Genomic DNA, 21,404 nt, shown 5'->3' with positions numbered 1-21,404 from the left:
AGTTTAACTTTTTTAGGTTCCACATATAAGTGAGATCATACAGTATTTGTCTTTCCATACTACCTACCTTATTTCAATGGCATAATGCCCTCTAGATTCCTCCCCCTCTAGATTTATCCATGTTGGTGCTAATATAGAATTTCCTTCTTTTTTAAATATTCCATTGTGTATATATACACCATATTTTTCAAATCCATTTGAATATCCATTGATGAGCACTTATATTGTTTCCATATCTTGGCTATTGTGAATAATGCTGCAGTGAACATAGGAGTGCAGACGTCTCTTCAACATACTGATTTCATTTCCTTTGGGTATATACCCAGAACTGGGATTGCTGGATCATATGCTAGATCTATTTTTAGATTTTTAGGAACTATCCATACTGTTTTCCAAAGAGGCTGTGCTAATAATGTACATTCTCAGCAACCATGTACAAGGATTCCCCTTTCTCCACATTCTTGTGATTGGCCCTCGCTTGTGTCTTTTTATTATTGTCTGTGTTAAAATCACTTTTCCCAAAAGCTGGAAGCAAACCAAGCCACAGGAAACTGGTAAATTTTTCCCACTTATTTTTAGATCTGATAAAATTTTTTAAAATGCTAAAGTAATTGTCTCTAATGAAACACTTACATTATGTATAGTTTTACTTTTTCCTTAATAATCCTTATCATCTAGTACCATGAATTGAGATTTGACTTTCCTTGGGAAGGAAGAATATGTATGCATGCTTGTTCATCTGCATGTGTGTATAACAAAGAGACTGAGGTTTACTTAACAATAGAAAAGAAAGACCATTTTTATAATATAGTTATATATAGGTAAAGAAATACAACCTCATATTCCAGCTCCCTTCAGCTAATCATACTACTATGAAGTCCTCGCCACAGCACACCAAAAGTAAAACTTGTGTTGACAAAGATTTCAACCACTGTTCCTGAGTTGGTCACTATATGTCTATTTATATTCTTGTGTGTGTCTGTGTGTGTATATTATGTATATATGCATATAAAGATAATTATGTTTAGATATGTAAACACATATATATACATATAACATACACACACACATTAACTTGTGCAAATGAATATAAACACATGTACTGGTGCTTTCATAAAATATAATATATTCCAAATTGAGTTCTGGATTCAATTTGTATGTTCAGTTTTACTCTGTTTTCCCCTGAGAAAGCTTTTAAATATATCTGAGGCAAAAATGTGGTAGTTTCAGCTGTTCCTGCAACCACTTTCGCTATTTGTGTCATTGTTATTGCTGCATAATCTGAACATAAAAAAAATGGTGCTGTAACAAATGACTTCCCACTACTGACAGTTATAGCAGCAGCATTTCAATACTGATGAAAAATTTCCCAGCAAGATATCTGAACAGGTTTACATAAACCAAACAGGAAATGGCTGCCACTATTCACATTAAATCCAAACCGTTTGGTGTAACTTTATCTATGTTTTACATTAATATAAAACCTCTTTCATTCTCAACTGGTGAAATTTCATCAGTATTAAGATTTGAAAAAGTAACTTGAGATTTCATATGTAGTATTCTTGTTTGTCCTTTGATAAGATCTTTTAAAGATAATTTTTGAAAAACTTTTTAGTTTTTGATTCTTTAAATTTTACGAACTTTGTAAATTTTTATGATAGGGAGAGGTTTGTTATGACTTTTTCCCAATGGACTGCTAATAGAAGTTAGCTTGTGTAGCCCATGTGCTGGATGCTGTCAGTATCAAACTGCCTTTGACTTTCACACCTCTCAGGGGACTAGTAATTGTTGTGTTCAAACAGCCTGTAATTGTGATCCCGCTGGCTTTCTCAGTACGCTTCTGGCTATTAGAATCATTAAACAACTCAGCACCTGTTAACAGCATTGTAAATATTCAACCCTGCTTGTGTGCAGGTTGAGTCCAATATAGAGAAGTCTTACAGAGCTCAGTCTCATAAATTAGAGCTTCTGACAAGTCAATTATTGTGAAACTGGGTTTCTCTGTGAAATAAATGAAATAGCATGCTGACAAAAAGGTAGGCTGTCCGTTTATGGCAAAGAGAAGATAATGACTTGATGATTCAATGCAGTGAACATAAAACTACGTTTTATCCTTTACCCATAATTAAACAGTTGTGAAATGTTTGTGTTTAAATAACCAGTAAATTACAAATTTTGTACTGTGGAGAGTGCAACATGAAAACAGACCTTTTTACTTAGCTGTTGCATGCTTTTTCAAGTTAGTAAAGTGATTATTAAAATTAATGATATGTAATGTTTTAAGCTAAATGCTTATAATTGTTCAGGCTAGAAGATGCACAGTAACTAAAAAAAGTTCACCTCATAGAAGTAAAGGCTGTATTATGCTACTAATCGAGAGCATATAAATCTGTACTCTATTCCTTATTCACAGAAAAATTCAAAATATATTAACTCCCAAAATTTTATGTAACCTAAAAAACTTCATTTACATTTAAATTATTTTATAGTGTCTCACAAATTGTATATCTAATTAAGATGTAACAATATCTTACTTTTATAAGGATTTGAAAATATTTTAAATGACTTTAGAATCTCAGTCCAAATATTGACCAAGAATAGTATTTGGTAAAGATCAGTGAAGTTCAATTTACTTGAATTGAATTTTGTATTTCTTCTGTTATGCAAGTCAATAAGAATGTTGGTGACCACATTTAGAAAAAAAAACTGTGTTAAGAAAAAATAACAGTGAAACATTTATGTTTTCTGCATGAAGAAATGTGAACTTTTAGCAAGTTAGATTATGAATAATATTTTAGTGGTGTCATCATATAATTTATTGTAATCTCAGAAACATCATTTAGGTTGATTTTTTTTTTTTTTTGGTGACTTACTTTAAATGTTTAAGATATATTTACCCTGACTATATTTTATCTGGATGAAAACCACAGATTTGTCTTTAAAAAGTCCCAATAGGCTTAAATAAACAGACTTTAGAAGGGATATTAATCCATTGAAATATACCTTGTAAATACAGTAAACAAAATAAAGCAAATACAGTAAATAAAATAAGATAAATATTTAAAAGAACCTGTAATTTTTTCAAGGAAAGTTTTTTTTCATTGATAGTTTTAAATATTATTTGTAAGTGTACCAAATTTATTCATTAAAGCATAAAAATGGTAAAGTTGACATCCCAGTTATATATAGGACAACGGCTGATGGTAATCCGTAACAGGATCCATTAGTTTTCAAACGACCTAGTAAATGGATAGATAAAAATAGTATTTTAATTTTTTTGTATTTCACAGTAATATTTTCAAAATATCTTCTTTCTGTAATGTCAGTTGCATAAAGAATTGTTTGTTCCAAGATCAAGGCAGACAGATTTGGTTTAAAAAAAGAATAGTTTGATTCTTACTCTACAAATCCTACTACTTAGTATCCTGGGCACATTTTGACTAGTGTTTTGAATTTAGAAATAACTTTATCAGCTATGTATTAGTCCTGACAGCTAAAAATAGTATTGGAAAATTTATAGGCTTAGTAAGCCAAAAGAATGTGAAATACAAAGTAAGCACTTATATTGTAGAAAGTTTGACTGATGAATTTCATTTCTTGCAAAACAATGAAAGAGAAAAAATATTTTAAAAATTTTGAATGACTTTGGATATTTGTATCTTTTATATGGCTTGAATGTCCAGAATTTTTATTTTCACCTCTAAAGCAGAAGACATTATTCTAACTACTCCTCCTTAGTCATTTTCCAAAAGAAAAGAAATATTTTCTAATGGTTAATAATTTTGGTTTTTCACTTCCATATATGCTTAGACATAAATTTGAACATTTTGTTTAAATTAATGACAGCACTAGGTTCAGTACTTATTTATCTCTTAATTGATTAATATTGCTTTATTTAGGTACATGCCAAGAGCTTTTCTAGAAAAAGCAGTAACTTTTCAATAGATCAAAATTAAAGTAACTTCCTTTTTAATGGAAGTAATTTTCCCAAATAAATTGCAATAGTCTTTTACTATAATAATTTTTATGTAATGGGGCCTCTCATATTTGGGTGTACCTAGCCATTTGCACTAACTTTTCTTTCTAATGAAAATATGTCCTGACATTATTAGTCCTGCTTTGTGTATTTTTAAATAATTTTTTTATAATTTACTGACCCCAAGTCTCTTCCTTTGAAGAATGAAAAATATCACAAAAATTGTCATCTAGATAGTGTTCTCTATTGCTCTCAAGTTGTGGCTTTCTTTAGTCCTCTCCCATTTGAAATTGTTAGCACCCTTTTCCCAGACTATGAATATTCCCTTCCTAGTCCTGTACAGATGTAAAACCATCATGATGGGGTCTTAGGGATGAGAACCGGTTCTCTAAGACCACTTTCCACTGCCATTCTTTGATGTGGATGGGGAAAAGGGAGGTAGGGCATATAAATTACCCATGCTGACTAGGATATAGGGTTCACCTAGTAGGAATTAGGGAACTGCCAAGATTATGGGTGTAGTCCCTTGCTCTTCGGATCTGTTTCCAGGCACAGATCCCTAGAGGCCATGGGGTTTTGCCAAGAACTTCTCAGTGTTGCAGGGATGCACATTCAGGTGAAATGTATGTCTTTAGGCTTTTTGCTTGGAAAATATACAGAGCTGGACTTATGTATTTTTCCTGTATTAAGACTTGGTTAGAATGCTTTATTTTTACCCTGATGATGTCCCTTCTAGTCATTAGGATGACATTTATTCTGTAAGCACTAGGGGAACAATAATTGACTGAATTGCCTAAAAGAACTCATCTACCACCCAAGATTAATATTTCTGTGAGTTTTGTGATGTTACTGAGGATAGGTTTTATAATAAAAGGGGATTATATTTATATATATTCTGTGAAACTGAGGTGATAGTTTTAGTAGAAAATGTCTTGAAACAAATAATAATAACCTTGCTTGTTTTCTAGCTATTACAATTTGGGTGATGTGAGCCATGATTCTGTGAACAAGTTTCTGTCCCATCTGATTGAGAAGTCCCTGATTGAATTGGAACTTTCCTACTGTATTGAAATTGGAGAGGTATGACTTAGTCATATGCATTCTAATTGAAAAGATTGCCCAGCTTTTTGACAGGTCTTTTGCTTTTAATACTATCAAAATTTTTTAAAAAATTGTTTCAAAAGCACCTGTCTGAATTATTAATTTTATAAAGATATGTACTTTCATCGTACTCTTCATTTGTTATTCTTTTGAAATAGGATAATCGCAGCATTGAACCTCTAACTTATGGCCGAATTGCCTCCTATTACTATTTGAAGCATCAAACAGTTAAAATGTTCAAGGACCGCTTGAAGCCTGAATGCAGTACTGAAGAACTGCTTTCAATTCTAAGTGTGAGTTTTTCATATATTTCATATCTTCTCTTTTAATTTAGGGCTTAAAGTTTTGCCACCTAGTTTGTCTTGAAATTTAACAGAAACCATTTGTAAAGCCCTTTCCTCTGTCAAACAAGGTCACTACAAAGCAACACATCTAGACTAAGATACCCATAGATAAGGTGACCACATAATTTATGATCCAAACTTGGATCCTTCTGAGTGTGGAATGAGGTCCTATTAATATTTAAGCCAGGATAGTAGATGTAAACTGGACTGTCCTGAGCAAGGCAAGTCATCACCCTATCCTTAAATATAATAGCCTCTTTGAATTATGATTGAAAGCTTTTCTTATTACTTTTTTGGATAGTTCCTGTTGAATACTTAGCTGTGATGCTACTGAAGTTTCTTTCATAAGCATCCACACAATTAAGTTCTTAGAATTAATGTCAGGACAGCTGTTTATCCCCCATCCCCACAAACACCCTTACCAAAAAAATGACCACAGATATATCACATGGTAAAAAACTATACTGTGTTCATTTTTCCTTTTTTTGCCAAATAGCTAAGAAATTAATATTAGAAGCATCTTGTCCACCTTTCCTTCTACATAATGTCCCCTTCTGGCTTTTTTTCCCTTTGTTGATTTTAAGTGTAATAATTTACCACAAAACTTTGTTAACACATTAGTTAGGATATTCATATATTCTTACTGTTATCTTATCCTTCAGATGTGTTGGTGCTTTTTAGAAAAGTTAAGAACAATTGGACCATTCTGTCTTTAAAGTCCTTCTCTTATAAATTCATTGACTCTATGGTAGTTCACTTAGTAACTTTTTTCCTTCCTCTCCTATTGCTTTATAATTCTCAATAAGCTTCAATATCCCATTCACAGTTTTTCAATTTCTCAGTTTTTTCCCCTACAAGAAACTAGTTTGTAAATTTTGTGCCCAGCATAGTGCCATGTACATTTTAGTGAGTTTGAAAATTTTTATTAATGAATTAACAGATGGAAGGATAGGTAGATCCTGTAATAATCAGTTTTCTATTCTTTGCTCTGTAGAAAAGAATAGAGGACTAAAGTATATAAGGCAGCTACCAAAAAATATTTTTTAAGAAAGTAAAAATTTATTTCTGATAGAAGAGTACAAAATATAAAGAATTTTTTAGATCCTTAAGAATGAGATTTATATCAGCTCCTAGCCAAAGATTCATAAAAGTAGGATTTCTCTGGGGAAGAGACTGTTGGCACAGGCAGCAAAATAATGGTTAATTTGGGCATGCCTCTTAAATTAGTATCTGTTAGATTTAAGAATATAACTTCTTTCGTATTTATCTAATCTCACATTTAACCATACTTTTCTGCCTTGGAAACATGTATGATAACAGCTAACACCTTTGAGCAGTTTTTTGAGCTAGACATTAAGAACTTTAAATTAATAAACTAATTTAATCCTCACAACAACCACTTATTTGATATTAATAACATCCCATCATTATTCCCATTTTAAAGATTAACCATCTTGTCCAAAGTGAGTGGTTTGCAGTCTAGCACCAGAGTATGGGCCCTGAAACCATCCTACTATACTGCCTCTCAAGTCATACACATATGCACACATGCACATAATTAGGTGGAAAGCACTGAGGTGGGAGATACAAAGTAATTTAAAACTAGATACATGCTGTAAAGGAAGTTTGTGAAAATCATATGCCTACTACATTCTGTACCCCTGTTTACTCCACTAAAAAAGCCAAAAAAAACCTTAAAATCCCAGGGGAATTAAACGTTTGTTTTAGTCTTCTCTTTGAAAAGGTATTGATCACAAAAGGTCTGTTCCCATCCTGTCAGCAGCATGTTTCTTTCTGGCATTACACTATATAAAACCAGTTATGCCGGTATATTTTTGTTAATTAAAGTCAGTTCTCCAGTTAATAACTAAATAAATGGAACCATCTGAAAATATGTGTAAGGAAAGCTGTATAACGGAATATTTATATAGATATGGTTTGGTCTACCCCATAAAAATTTCCACAGCAAGAATATCTTCTTCTCCCATGGTGTTTAGTCCAAGGAACTTTCAGCTTGCGCTAGATATTGTCTCAGTCTGTATTATCTCAATGAGGGTTCATTCTGAATGAAGAACCATAGGACTCACATTGACAAGGAGATACGTAGGTATCACACTGTTTTCTTAATTTCTTGCCTAGGAATTATTCTTTGTTCACTATTGAACACTATGTGTAGCTACCAGCAAAATGCTAAATAATACAGCAAGATTGTATAATTGTGGTGTAATTTCCAGAAATCCTTCTTCTTCTTAAGTTTCTTTAAATGACTTTTTTTTTTTTTTACCATGAAAAGACTACCAAATGACTCAAAGAACTCAGTATCCTCCCTACTCTTGCCTCCAAAAATGCATATTAATCTCATTGTGGTTTTAAACTAAGGAGAAAGTGTAGTCAGACAGAAGCTGTAGGGTGCAGGATGATAATAGCATAAGAAGATGAGGAAAGCTGTGGGGATAACATTAGTGTTTCAAAGATCTGTTTCCATTATCATTGCTTTTGTTATTATAATACTTAAGAAAGTCATATTATGTTTTTGTACAATTCACTCATATAACATTCATTGTTAATGCTTCCTTTTACTAAGATACATTCATTGATGTTTCTAAAGTCATTTTTAAACTTTAGTTTTTAAATTTTTAGTATTTCTGATAACATTACAACTGAAAAACTTCTATTCTTTTGAGTATTACTTTGAACTTACCATAATATTTCCTTAAATTTTATTAGTGAATAAAGTTTTCTTATTTCTTAAGCTACCCATTACATTTGTCTTTTGGTTTTCAGGATTTGGGGGTATTAATAACGTATAGAAATTAGGTTCATTAAGATTTTTAGGATCTGATGTAGGGGGAGGAGCCAAGATGGCCGAATAGGAACAGCTCAGGTCTACAGCTCCCAGCGTGAGTGACGCAGAAGACGGGTGATTTCTGCATTTCCATCTGAGGTACCGGGTTCATCTCACCAGGGAGTGCCAGACAGTGGGTGCAGGTCAGTGGGTGCAGCACACCGTGCGTGAGCCAAAGCAGGGCGAGGCATTGCCTTACTCAGGAAGCACAAGGGGTCAGGGAGTTCCCTTTCCGAGTCAAAGAAAGGGGTGACAGACGGCACCTGGAAAATCGGGTCGCTCCCACCCGAATACTGCACTTTTCCAACGAGCTTAAAAAATGGCGCATCAGGAGATTATATCTCGCACCTGGCTCGGAGGGTCCTACGCCCACGGAGTCTCACTGATTGCTAGCACAGCAGTCTGAGGTCAAACTGCAAGGCGGCAGCAAGGCTGGGGAAGGGTCACCCGCCATTGCCCAGGCTTGCTTAGGTAAACAAAGCTGCTGGGAAGCTCGAACTGGGTGGAGCCCACCACAGCTCAAGGAGGCCTGCCTGCCTCTGTAGGCCCCACCTCTGGGGACAGGGCACAGACAAACAAAAAGATAGCAGTAACGTCTGCAGACTTAAATGTCCCTGGCTGACAGCTTTGAAGAGAGCAGTGGTTCTCCCAGCACGCAGCTGGAGATCTGAGAACGGGCAGACTGCCTCCTCAAGTGGGTCCCTGACCCCTGACCCCCGAGCAGCCTAACTGGGAGGCACCCCCCAGTAGGAGCAGACTGACAACTCACATGGCCGAGTACTCCTCTGAGACAAAACTTCCAGAAGAAAGATCAGACAGCAGCATTCGCGGTTCACGAAAAACTGCTGTTCTGCAGACACCGCTGCTGATACCCAGGCAAACAGGGTCTGGAGTGGACCTCTAGCAAACTCCAACAGACCTGCAGCTGAGGGTCCTGTCTGTTAGAAGGAAAACTAACAAACAGAAAGGACATCCATACCAAAAACCTATCTGTACATCACCATCATCAAAGACCAAAAGTAGATAAAACCACAAAGATGGGGAAAAAACAGAACAGAAAATCTGGAAACTCTAAAAAGCAGAGCACCTCTCCTCCTCCAAAGGAACACAGTTCCTCACCAGCAACGGAACAAAGCTGGAGGGAGAATGACTTTGATGATTTGAGAGAAGAAGTCTTCAGACGATCAAACTATTCTGAGCTACAGGAGGAAATTCAAACCAAAGGCAAAGAAACTGAAAACTTTGAAAAAAATTTAGACGAATGTATAACTAGAATAACCAATACAGAGAAGTGCTTAAAGGAGCTGATGGAGCTGAAAGCCAAGGCTCGAGAACTACGTGAAGAATGCAGAAGCCTCAGGAGCCGATGTGATCAACTGGAAGAAAGGGTATCAGCGATGGAAGATGAAATTAATGAAATGAAGCGAGAAGGGAAGTTTAGAGAAAAAAGAATAAAAAGAAACGAACAAAGCCTCCAAGAAATATGGGACTATGTGAAAAGACCAAATCTGCGTCTGATTGGTGTACCTGAAAATGACGGGGAGAATGGAACCAATTTGGAAAACACTCTGCAGGATATTATCCAGGAGAACTTCCCCAATCTAGCAAGGCAGGCCAACATTCAGATTCAGGAAATACAGAGAACACCACAAAGATACTCCTCGAGAAGAGCAACTCCAAGACACATAAGTGTCAGATTCACCAAAGTTGAAATGAAGGAAAAAATGTTAAGGGCAGCCAGAGGGAAAGGTCGGGTTACCCACAAAGGGAAGCCCATCAGACTAACAGCGGATCTCTCGGCAGAAACTCTACAAGCTAGAAGAGAGTGGGGGCCAATATTCAACATTCTTAAAAGAATTTTCAACCCAGAATTTCATATCCAGCCAAACTAAGCTTCATAACTGAAGGAGAAATAAAATACTTTACAGACAAGCAAATGCTGAGAGATTTTGTCACCACCAGCCCTGCCCTACAAGAGCTCCTGAAGGAAGCACTAAATATGGAAAGGAAAAACCGGTACCAGCCGCTGCAAAATCATGCCAAAATCTAAAGACCATCGAGACTAGGAAGAAACTGCATAAACTAATGAGCAAAATAACCAGCTAACATCATAATGACAGGATCAAACTGACACATAACAATATTAACTTTAAATGTAAATGGACTAAATGTTCCAATTAAAGAGACAGACTGGCAAATTGGATAGAGTCAAGACCCATCAGCGTGCTGTGTTCAGGAAACCCATCTCACGTGCAGAGACACACATAGGCTCAAAATAAAAGGATGGAGGAAGTCTACCAAGCAAATGGAAAACAAAAAAAGGGAGAGGTTGCAATCCTAGTCTCTGATAAAACAGACTTTAAACCAACAAAGATCAAAAGACACAAAGAAGGCCATTACATAATGGTAAAGGGATCAATTCAACAAGAAGAGCTAACTATCCTAAATATATATGCACCCAATACAGGAGCACCCAGATTCATAAGGCAAGTCCTGAGTGACCTACAAAGAGACTTAGACTCCCACACATTAATAATGGGAGACTTTAACACCCCACTGTCAACATTAGACAGATCAACGAGACAGAAAGTCAACAAGGATACCCAGGAATTGAACTCAGCTCTGCACCAAGCAGACCTAATAGACATCTACAGAACTCTCCACCCCAAATCAACAGAATATACATTTTTTTCAGCACCACACCACACCTATTCCAAAATTGACCACATACTTGGAAGTAGAGCTCTCCTCAGCAAATGTAAAACAACAGAAATTATAACAAACTATCTCTCAGACCACAATGCAATCAAACTAGAACTCAGGATTCAGAAACTCACTGAAAACTGCTCAACTACATGGAAACTGAACAACCTGCTCCTGAATGACCACTGGGTACATAACGAAATGAAGGCAGAAATAAAGATGTTCTTTGAAACCAACGAGAACAAAGACACACATACCAGAATCTCTGGGACACATTCAAAGCAGTGTGTAGAGGGAAATTTATAGCACTAAATGCCCATAAGAGAAAGCAAGAAAGATCCAAAATTGACACCCTAACATCACAATTAAAAGAACTAGAAAAGCAAGAGCAATCACATTCAAAAGCTTGCAGAAGGCAAGAAATAACTAAAATCAGAGTAGAACTCAAGGAAATAGAGACACAAAAAACCTTTCAAAAAATTAATGAATTCAGGAGCTGGTTTTTGGAAAGGATCAACAAAATTGACAGACCACTAGCAAGACTAATAAAGAAGAAAAGAGAGAAGAATCAAATAGATGCAATAAAAAATGATAAAGGGGATATCACCACCGATCCCACAGAAATACAACACTACCATCAGAGAATACTACAAACACCTCTACGCAAATAAACTCAAAAATCTAGAAGAAATGGATAAATTCCTCGACACATACACCCTCCCAAGACTAAACCAGGAAGAAGTTGAATCTCTGAATAGAGCAATAACAGGATTTGAAATTGTGGCAATAATCAATAGCTTACCAACGAAAAAGAGTCCAGGACCAGATGGATTCACAGCCGAATTGTACAAGAGGTACAAGGAGGAACTGGTACCATTCCTTCTGAAACTATTCCAATCAATAGAAAAAGAGGGAATCCTCCCTAACTCATTTTCTGAGGCAGCATCATCCTGATACCAAAGCCTGGCAGAGCCACAACCAAAAAAGAGAATTTTAGACCAATATCCTTGATGAACATTGATGCAAAAATCCTCAATAAAATACTGGCACACTGAATCCAGCAGCACATCAAAAAGCTTATCCACCATGATCAAGTGGGCTTCATCTCTGGGATGCAAGGCTGGTTCAATATACGCAAATCAATAAATGTAATCCAGCATATAAACAAAACCAAAGACAAAAACCACATGATTATCTCAATAGATGGAGGAAAGGCCTTTGACAAAATTCAACAACCCTTCATGCTAAAAACTCTCAATAAATTAGGTATTGATGGGGCATATCTCAAAATAATAAGAGCTATCTATGACAAACCCACAGCCAATATCATACTGAATGGGCAAAAACTGGAAGCATTCCCTTTGAAAACTGGCACAAGACAGGGATGCCCTCTCTCACCACTCCTATTCAACATAGTGTTGGAAGTTCTGGCCAGGGCATTTAGGCAGGAGAAGGAAATAAAGGGTATTCAGTTAGGAAAAGAGGAAGTCAAATTGTCCCTGTTTGCAGACGACATGATTGTATATCTAGAAAACCCCATTGTCTCAGCCCAAAATCTCCTTCAGCTGATAAGCAACTTCAGCAAAGTCTCAGGATACAAAATCAATGTACAAAAATCACAAGCATTCTTATATACCAATAACAGACAAACAGAGAGCCAAATCATGAGTGAAGTCCCATTCACAATTGCTTCAAAGAGAATAAAATACCTAGGAATCCAACTTACAAGGGACGTGAAGGACCTTTTCAAGGAGAACTACAAACCACTGCTCAATGAAATAAAAGACGATACAAACAAATGGAAGAACATTCCATGCTCATGGGTAGGAAGAATCAATATCATGATAATGGCCATACTGCCCAAGGTAATTTATAGATTCAATGCCATCCCCATCAAGCTACCAATGACTTTCTTCACAGAATTGGAAAAAACTACTTTAAAGTTCATATGGAACCAAAAAAGAGCCCGCATCACCAAGTCAATCCTAAGCCAAAAGAACAAAGCTGGAGGCATCACACTACCTGACTTCAAACTATATACTACAAGGCTACAGTAACCAAAACAGCATGGTACTGGTACCAAAACAGAGATATAGATCAATGGAACAGAACAGAGCCCTCAGAAATAACACCGCATATCTACAACTATCTGATCTTTGACAAACCTGAGAAAAACAAGCAATGGGGAAAGGATTCCCTATTTAATAAATGGTGCTGGGAAAACTGGCTAGCCATATGTAGAAAGCTGAAACTGGATCCCTTCCTTACACCTTATACAAAAATCAATCCAAGATGGATTAAAGACTTAAACGTTAGACCTAAAACCATAAAAACCCTAGAAGAAAACCTAGGCATTACCATTCAGGACATAGCCATGGGCAAGGACTTCATGTCCAAAACACCAAAAGCAATGGCAACAAAAGACAAAATTGACAAATGGGATCTAATTAAACTAAAGAGCTTCTGCACAGCAAAAGAAACTACCATCAGAGTGAACAGGCAACCTACAAAATGGGAGAAAATTTTCGCAACCTACTCATCTGACAAAAGGCTAATATCCAGAATCTACAATGAACTTAAACAAATTTACAAGAAAAAAACAAACAACCCCATCAAAAAGTGGGTGAAGGACATGAACAGACACTTCTCAAAAGAAGACATTTATGCAGCCAAAAAAACACATGAAAAAATGCTCACCATCACTGGCCATCAGAGAAATGCAAATCAAAACCACAATGAGATACCATCTCACACCAGTTAGAATGGCAATCATTAAAAAGTCAGGAAACAACAGGTGCTGGAGAACATGTGGAGATATAGGAACACTTTTACACTGTTGGTGGGACTGTAAAGTAGTTCAACCATTGTGGAAGTCAGTGTGGCGATTCCTCAGGGATCTAGAAGTAGAAATACCATTTGACCCAGCCATCCCATTACTGGGTATATACCCAAAGGACTATAAATCATGCTGCTATAAAGACACATGCACACGTATGTTTATTGCGGCACTATTCGCAATAGCAAAGACTTGGAACCAAGCCAAATGTCCAACAATGATAGACTGGATTAAGAAAATGTGGCACATATACACCATGGAATACTATGCAGCCATAAAAATGATGAGTTCATGTCCTTTGTAGGGACATGGATGCAATTGGAAATCATCATTCTCAGTAAACTATCGCAAGACCAAAAAACCAAACACCGCATATTCTCACTCATAGGTGGGAATTGAACAATGAGAACACATGGACACAGGAAGGGGAACATCACACTCTGGGGACTGTTGTGGGGTGGGGGGAGGGGAGAAGGATAGCATTGGGAGATATACCTAATGCTAGATGACGAGTTAGTGGGTGCAGCGCACCAGCATGGCACATGTATACATATGTAACTAACCTGCACATTGTGCACATGTACCCTAAAACTTAAAGTATAATAATAATAATAATAATAAAAGATTTTTATTTTGGGTCTTCTGAATATGTTGCATTGTGATGATTGTAGGCACAAAAACAATAAGCTAGAAGGTAATCATAAATTGGAAAAAAAAAGAATATTAAAACATCTATTCACTTTTACCAAACATTTCTAAATATATAAACCCATTATTTCTCTTCAATTATCATCAAAACATAGTTTCAAGTGATGATCTCTTGATTGTATCTAGTCCTAACTGATGGTACCTTCTTTTGGACCTTTTCTTCCTTTAGAGAATATAAGTATTTATAATCTTGAACTGAGCTATATATTTTTCTCTCTTTAAAAAAAAATGAGTTAGAATTCTTACGCTTTATGTAGTCAATTTAAGTGTTACTATTAACTTTTCTGAAATAAGAATTAGCATTTCCAGAATACAAAATTAGTGTACGCAAATCAGTAGAATTTCTGTACACCAACAACATTCAAGCTGAGAGCCAAGTCAAGAATGCAATCCCATTCACAATAGCAACAAAAAGAATAAAATACCTAGAAATACAACTGACGAAAGAGATAAAAAATCTCTATAACGAGAATTGTAAAACACTGCTCAAAAAAATCAGAGTTGACACAAACAAATGGAAAAACCTTTCGTATTCATGAATAGGAAGAATCGCTATTGTTAAAATGGCCATACTGCCCAAAGCAATTTATACATTCAGTGCTATCTCTAACAAACTACCAATGACATTCTTCACAGAATTAGGAAAGACTATTCAAACTTTATATGGATCCAAAAAGAGCTGGAATAGCCAAGGCAATCCTAAACAAAAGGAACCAAGCTGGAGATATCATGTTACCTGACTTCAAACTATACTACAAGGCTACAGTAACCAAAACAGCATGGTGCTAGCAGAAAAACAGACATAGACCAATGGAACAGAATAGAGAGCCCAGAAGTGAAGCAACACATCTACAACCATCTAATTGTTAACCAAAAAAAATGGGAAAAAGACTCCCTATTCAATAAATGGTGCTGGGATAATTGCCGAGCCCTATGCAGAAGATTGAAATAGGACCCCTTCCTTACCCGTATACAAAAGTCAAGTCAAGATGGATTGAAGACTTGAATGTGAAACCTAAAACTACAAAAACTCTGGAAGATAACCCAGGAAATACCATTCTGGACGTAGGCCCTGGCAAATATTTCATGAAAAAGATGCCGAAAGCAGTTGCAACAAAAACAAAAGTTGACAAATGAGACCACATTAAACTGAAGAACTTCTGCATAATAAAACAAACTATCAGTAGAGTAAACAGACAGCCTACAGAATGGGAGAAAATATTTGCAAACTATTCCTCTGACAAAGGTCTAATATTCAGAATCTATAAGGAACTTAAGCAAATTAACGAGCAAAAAAAAAAAAACAAACAACCCCATTAAAAAGTGGGCAAAGGAGATGAATGAACAGATACTTTTCAAAAGAAGATATACGTGTGACCAACAAGCATAGGAAAAAAAGTGCTCAACGTCACTAATCATTAGAAAAATGCAAACCAAAACCACAGTGAGATACCATCTCACACCAGTCAGAATGACTATTATTTTCAAAGTCAAAAAACAACAGATGCTGGTGAGGATGCAGAGAAAAGGCATCATTTATACACTGCTAGTAGAAATGTAAATCAGTCGTTGTGGAAAGCAGTGTGACAATTTGTCAAAATATGTTGCTGGTAGAAATGTAAATTAGTTCAGCCATTGTGGAAAGCAGTGTGTCGATTTCTCAAAGAACTTAAAACAGAACTACCATTTGACCCAGCAATCCATTATTGGGTATATACCCAAAGGAATAAAAATTGTTCTGCCGTAAAGACACATGCACGCATATGTTTATTGCAGTGCTATTCACAATATCAAAGTTATGGAATCAACCTAAATGCCCGTCAACAGTAGACTGGATAAAGATAATGTGGTACATATACACCATGGAAAACTATGCAGCCATAAAAAAAAGAATGAAATCATATTCTTTGCAGAAACATGGATGGAGTTGGAGGCCATAATCCTACGTGAAACACAGGGATAGAAAACCAAATACCACATATTCTCACTTATAAATGGGAGCTAAACATTGAGAATACATGGACACGAAGAAGGGAACAACAGACACAAGGGCCTACTTGAATGTGTAGGCTGGGAGGAGGGAGAGGATCAAAAAACTACCTATTGAGTACTATGATTACTACCTGGGTGACAAAATAATCTGTACCCCAAACCACCACAACACACAATTTACCTGTGTAACAGACTTGGTCATGTACCCCTGAACCTAAAATTAAAGTTTAATTAATTACTTAATTGATTAGCAGAAGATTGTCAGAATTGGTAAAAATTCTATATGTTATGCCTGTTTATACCTTATCCTCTGAATTCTCGCCTTTTATGTTCTTTTTCTTTATATGTGGAATGATTGGGGTCAGCCTGGTAGTTTTCAGAATGATATTATATTGACAATATCACCCTTTGACCAAAGAATGGAGACAACAGACAGTTTCTGAGTTTGCAGATGAAACTGAATTCTTCCAAATAGTATAGAGCTAAGCTAAAGGAAATTGTCTAAAGAAATATTTTAAGAATATATTGCAGTGTGCCTGTCTTGGATAGCTTATCTTTAAGTATTACTCTCCATTTTTTCATACTCAATTTCGTTGCTCACTATTCTACCCACAGACTATATACTGATTCATCAAAAAATATATTTATTGTGTGTCTACAATGTGTAAGGCACTTTCTAAGGGCAAGATACAGAAGAATGAACATTAGTGACAAACTTCCTATGTGTATGTGTGAGAGAGTGTGTGTGTGTGTGTGGGTGGGTGGGTGTGTGTGTGTTCACACACAGATAAATTATGGGCAATGGTAGTAAACCATGAAAGACACTTGCACTTTGGTGTTGCTGCTGACGGAAGTCATCAGCTCAGTGTGATGCTCTAAGGATGACAGCAGGTGTTGCCCATTATCAAAAAGAATATCTAAAAACAAAACAGGAAATAGTATTCTGTTCTTTATGTTAATCGTCCATATGGAGAAGACTTGCTATATACATTTCCGGTGGCCTCAGATCAAAAGGACATCAGAGAGAAAGTCTGAATGTGTCCAAAGTGAGTTACTCGAATGTTAGAAGACATGTGATTAGAGTACTTTGGTCTAGGGAGGCAAAGGCTTTGAATCAATGGGACCAAAATTGAAATCATGAATAGAGGCCCTCTTTGGATCTTGAAAACAGTAACTTTTTCACAGTTAGTAGGAGGTTCCATCTGATTTATTACTTCAGTTGACAGATATAATATAGGCCAAAAATTTATAGATTCAAAAAGAGATGGGATAAATTTATTAAAAGTTACTAAAGAACTAAAATAGAAAATGGAATTGTGCTTGTCATATTTGGTGTGATAGGTGATTTTTTTTACAACGTAGGGATCAGGATTGGACCTGCCTGGCATTTGCATGAATTTTTTTCTGTTGGAGCTCTGGATACTTTAGGAATATTTTTATTCTTCAGAGTATTGTGGGCTTTTTTTTTTTTAATGTGGCAGTCTGTTAATACTTGCAGATACTAATTCCTGTTGATTATTATTCCATTATATGAAACTACTCCAGTCAACAGTGAGAAGGAAAATACACTTCCACTCATTTTTTTTTTCTCCTGTGACATCTCTTTTGAGACTGCTATTTTTATTTATTCTTCTTTCCTTGAAGCTGAGCTGTTTCTGGCTTATGTTTTTAGATATTGTCATCCTTAAATGATAGTAAAATACTCTAGTCTGGGTGGAAAGCAAAGATTCTATCGAAACTTTCTCTTCACTAATCTCCTTCTACAATAGAAACCCATTTATTTTAATCCCATCTTTTCCATACAGCGATTAAAAAATAATAATTACTTTTTACTGAGAACCCACTACATGCTAGGCAGTTTATATACATTATTTATAAGCATCAAATAACCCTTCAAGTTAAGTGTTAATATATAAATAACGAAATTGAATTTTAATCTCATTAAGTTGTTACAGGTTCTATAGAAGGTAGCTCCTTAGAACTTTTTTTTATACCCTATTTCCTTTTCGACATATTCTATCTTTATCCTATTATTTCATTCCAGCTGTAAAAAAATTTTAAAGCATTGACATGTAAGAAATATACTTTTAAAAAATAAAGAACCAGAGTTACTTTTAAAATTATGTATGACCTTGTAACTAGAATTATAAGTATTAAATACAGAGCTTAAGTACTAACAAAATAATTATTTCAGCATTTTTTTATTGAAGACATTATTTTAAGTTTTAAACAATCTGATGCTATTTTGGAAAATGTTAGGTGTTTCATAAGAACCCTTGCCAAGTTTTTTCTAACACCATGAATTAGTAAGCTTCATAATTAAGGCAGCTGCTTCACACCTCTACTGTTAACCGGTGACATTACATCTGTCTTGCTCCATTGATGCCCTCCTCCTAGTTATTGAAGCATTTAGCAGTTTTGGCAACAGGGATTACGTGGCATGGAGTAAGTAGTCTAATTAGATATAAGTAAAAATCCTGAGGGAAAAGGACATTTTGAAAGTAATTTGAAGAATCTCTTAATGATGTTGGCACTGAAATCCGAAGTCCAGAGTAGAAAGTGCCTGTCATCGTGGCAAACCAGGATCATGATCTGATATGTTCAGTGGACTTTTAGAAGGTAGTCTATTTTAAAACTGGAATAGAAATGAAAAGCTTCAAAGTTAGGGAAAATTTTTTTTGAACAGATTTTTTAGAATATGCTGCTATAATATTGACAATTTTGAAAGAAAGCAAAATATGCCCCAAATGTCTTATGTCTCAATAATTTTCAGTTAATTTTTATAACGTACACTCGGTTGTTATGGTTCTTATGACAACATGAAATGAGATTTTATTTATATATCGAATATTAAAAGTAGTGAAATTCTTATTTTCACACAAGCTTGGATATTGACTAAAAGAATGAGTTTCATGTCTAAATGTAAATAGAACTATTCCAAATTTAGAAAAGTACCAGAACAATAGAATTTTTATGTGTCAATAAATGTCTAGGTTTAGCCGTTCTCAGTACTGTTCTCTTTAAAAGCATGCTGATTCTTTGCTCTGCCTGTATATAGAACATTTTCAGTAATACAACATTTTTAATGCTTGAATTTTATCGTGTTTGAGGCACAACTATAAATTGTTTTGTAGGAAAAATTGCAAAAATATCTTTCTCAAACATATAAGGTTGAAAAAATAAGCAAGAATGTTTTTGTTTTTATAAGGGAGAAATTTAAAACTAAATAAAAAGGACAAGCCAGTTATGAATAGCATTGGTGGGGGACCCAGCACGTAAAAAAAAATTAAAGAGTTTGTTAAAGGAAAAATGAAAGAAAGGAAGGTTAACTGAATAATAGTGAACACCTCCAACCTCATGGCCTTCCATTTCCAAATAACCTCCTGACAATCACAGGATCCCATCTGCTACTCTTTATCTTCTTAGTGGGGAAACCTAATGGGATATCTTCCAGGGTTTGCGAGAAGAGCTTCCTTAACCCTCAGGCTGGGGAGCTGCCTGGCATCTTTTGGAGAGGCACAGATGGCAACTGTCTTGAAAAAAGGTATCTTTCTACTTCTCTGGGTCTCTTTCCCTTGAGACCTTCCATGTTGTCCATTATTTCTTAACTTCTAACTTTCTGCACTTATAAGCTTTCTTTAACATAGAGAAATGAAATATTTTCCCGATAGAAGTCCTCAATCTCAAATATATCTATTGTGATTTAGTAGATTATAGGTTTTTAAGCTGTTATGTTCCGACAAGCATAAAATGTATTTGTAATACTATCTGGAATTTGTCCTGTTTTAAATTTTTATTCTTTTTTTTTTTCTTAATTACTTTTCATTTCTTAAACTGTCCCACAGATTAAGGACTGTCAATTACCAGGATTCCAAAGGTTGGTGATTAAATAGGAAATGAGTTTAGATTTAGGAATGAGTTTTAGTTATTTAAGAAATGTGTTTAGATAGCAAAATATATTTATTTTATTTTATACTAGTTTAACAGTCTCATTAAAATAGAAAATGGCCCAACCTTGCCCAAGATGACACAACTACTATGGAAAAATAATATAAAAACTCAGCTCCCAACAGGGAAAAGACAGTGTTAGAATTTATATCTCCCGGGAACCTTTTGAATGTCCTGTCTCTTTTCCCATTTCTGTTTTGTACTTTTCTTTTTTCCTTTTTACATCTTATTTTGCTCTTTTATCTAAATTTACAAAGTAAGGTACATAAAAAGGTTGCACCCATAAACTTCTGTGCCAAAGCTATCTGTAAAAGATACTTTTAGCTTGTCATTTATTAAAGTTTGCTATGTATTCTATCCAATAGTCAGTGCACGTGGGGAATACCAAAGAAACAGAAGATAGATCCGTATTTTTTAAGGAGATTTATACTAGAGCCCTAAAAGCTTAATGAAAACAAAGGGATAAGCTTGTATCTAGTTCTGTGTGCCATTGCTGCTCAATATAGCTTTATGTAAGCATGGCAAGTGTTTAGTTCTACCTTCAGCATTCAAGGCAAAAGGAGTTGCTGACATTGTCCTCCCCCAAAGAGTTACCAGCCTATCCTATGGGCAAGATTGGAACACCAAGCTCCCCGGGGCATATAAGAACATTTACAAAGGGTACTCCAACTAAACATTTTTAAATCGCAAACGCAATCTTTATTGGGTTTATATAAGTTAAGTCATATTTATAAAACTTCCATGGTATTTTACTTTCCAGAGAATCTTATTAGGAATTATTTGGCAAAATAAATTATTATTAATCTGGTTTTGAACATTTTTTAATTATCGGTAGTAAGTCTCTGCTTAGTGATATAATAACTACGTAGAATTGTCATTACACAAGCAATCATGTTGGAGAAATAAAAATAACACTGAAGCATATTATCTTACTGGAAATAAAATTTCTTC

At 35.3% G+C, this 21,404-nt stretch overlaps 1 protein-coding gene across 5 annotated transcripts in view; it reads left to right on the top strand.

Annotated features, from left to right (window-relative positions):
- The window catches only part of ASCC3 (activating signal cointegrator 1 complex subunit 3), a 373,136-nt gene that overhangs the window by 286,326 nt on the left and 65,406 nt on the right, over positions 1-21,404 (top strand). For all 5 annotated transcript variants that reach the window (NM_006828.4, XM_011535394.4, XM_047418108.1 and 2 more), the window contains 2 exons: positions 4,945-5,056; positions 5,236-5,370. In NM_006828.4, coding sequence (NP_006819.2) covers positions 4,945-5,056; positions 5,236-5,370 — 247 coding nt within the window. The remainder of the gene's footprint in view (positions 1-4,944; positions 5,057-5,235; positions 5,371-21,404) is intronic.

Source organism: Homo sapiens, chromosome 6, assembly GCF_000001405.40.
Source record: "Homo sapiens chromosome 6, GRCh38.p14 Primary Assembly".
NCBI lineage: Eukaryota > Metazoa > Chordata > Mammalia > Primates > Hominidae > Homo > Homo sapiens.
The sequence above is the reverse complement of the archived record's forward strand: the minus strand, read 5'-3'. Positions and strand labels throughout refer to the sequence as shown.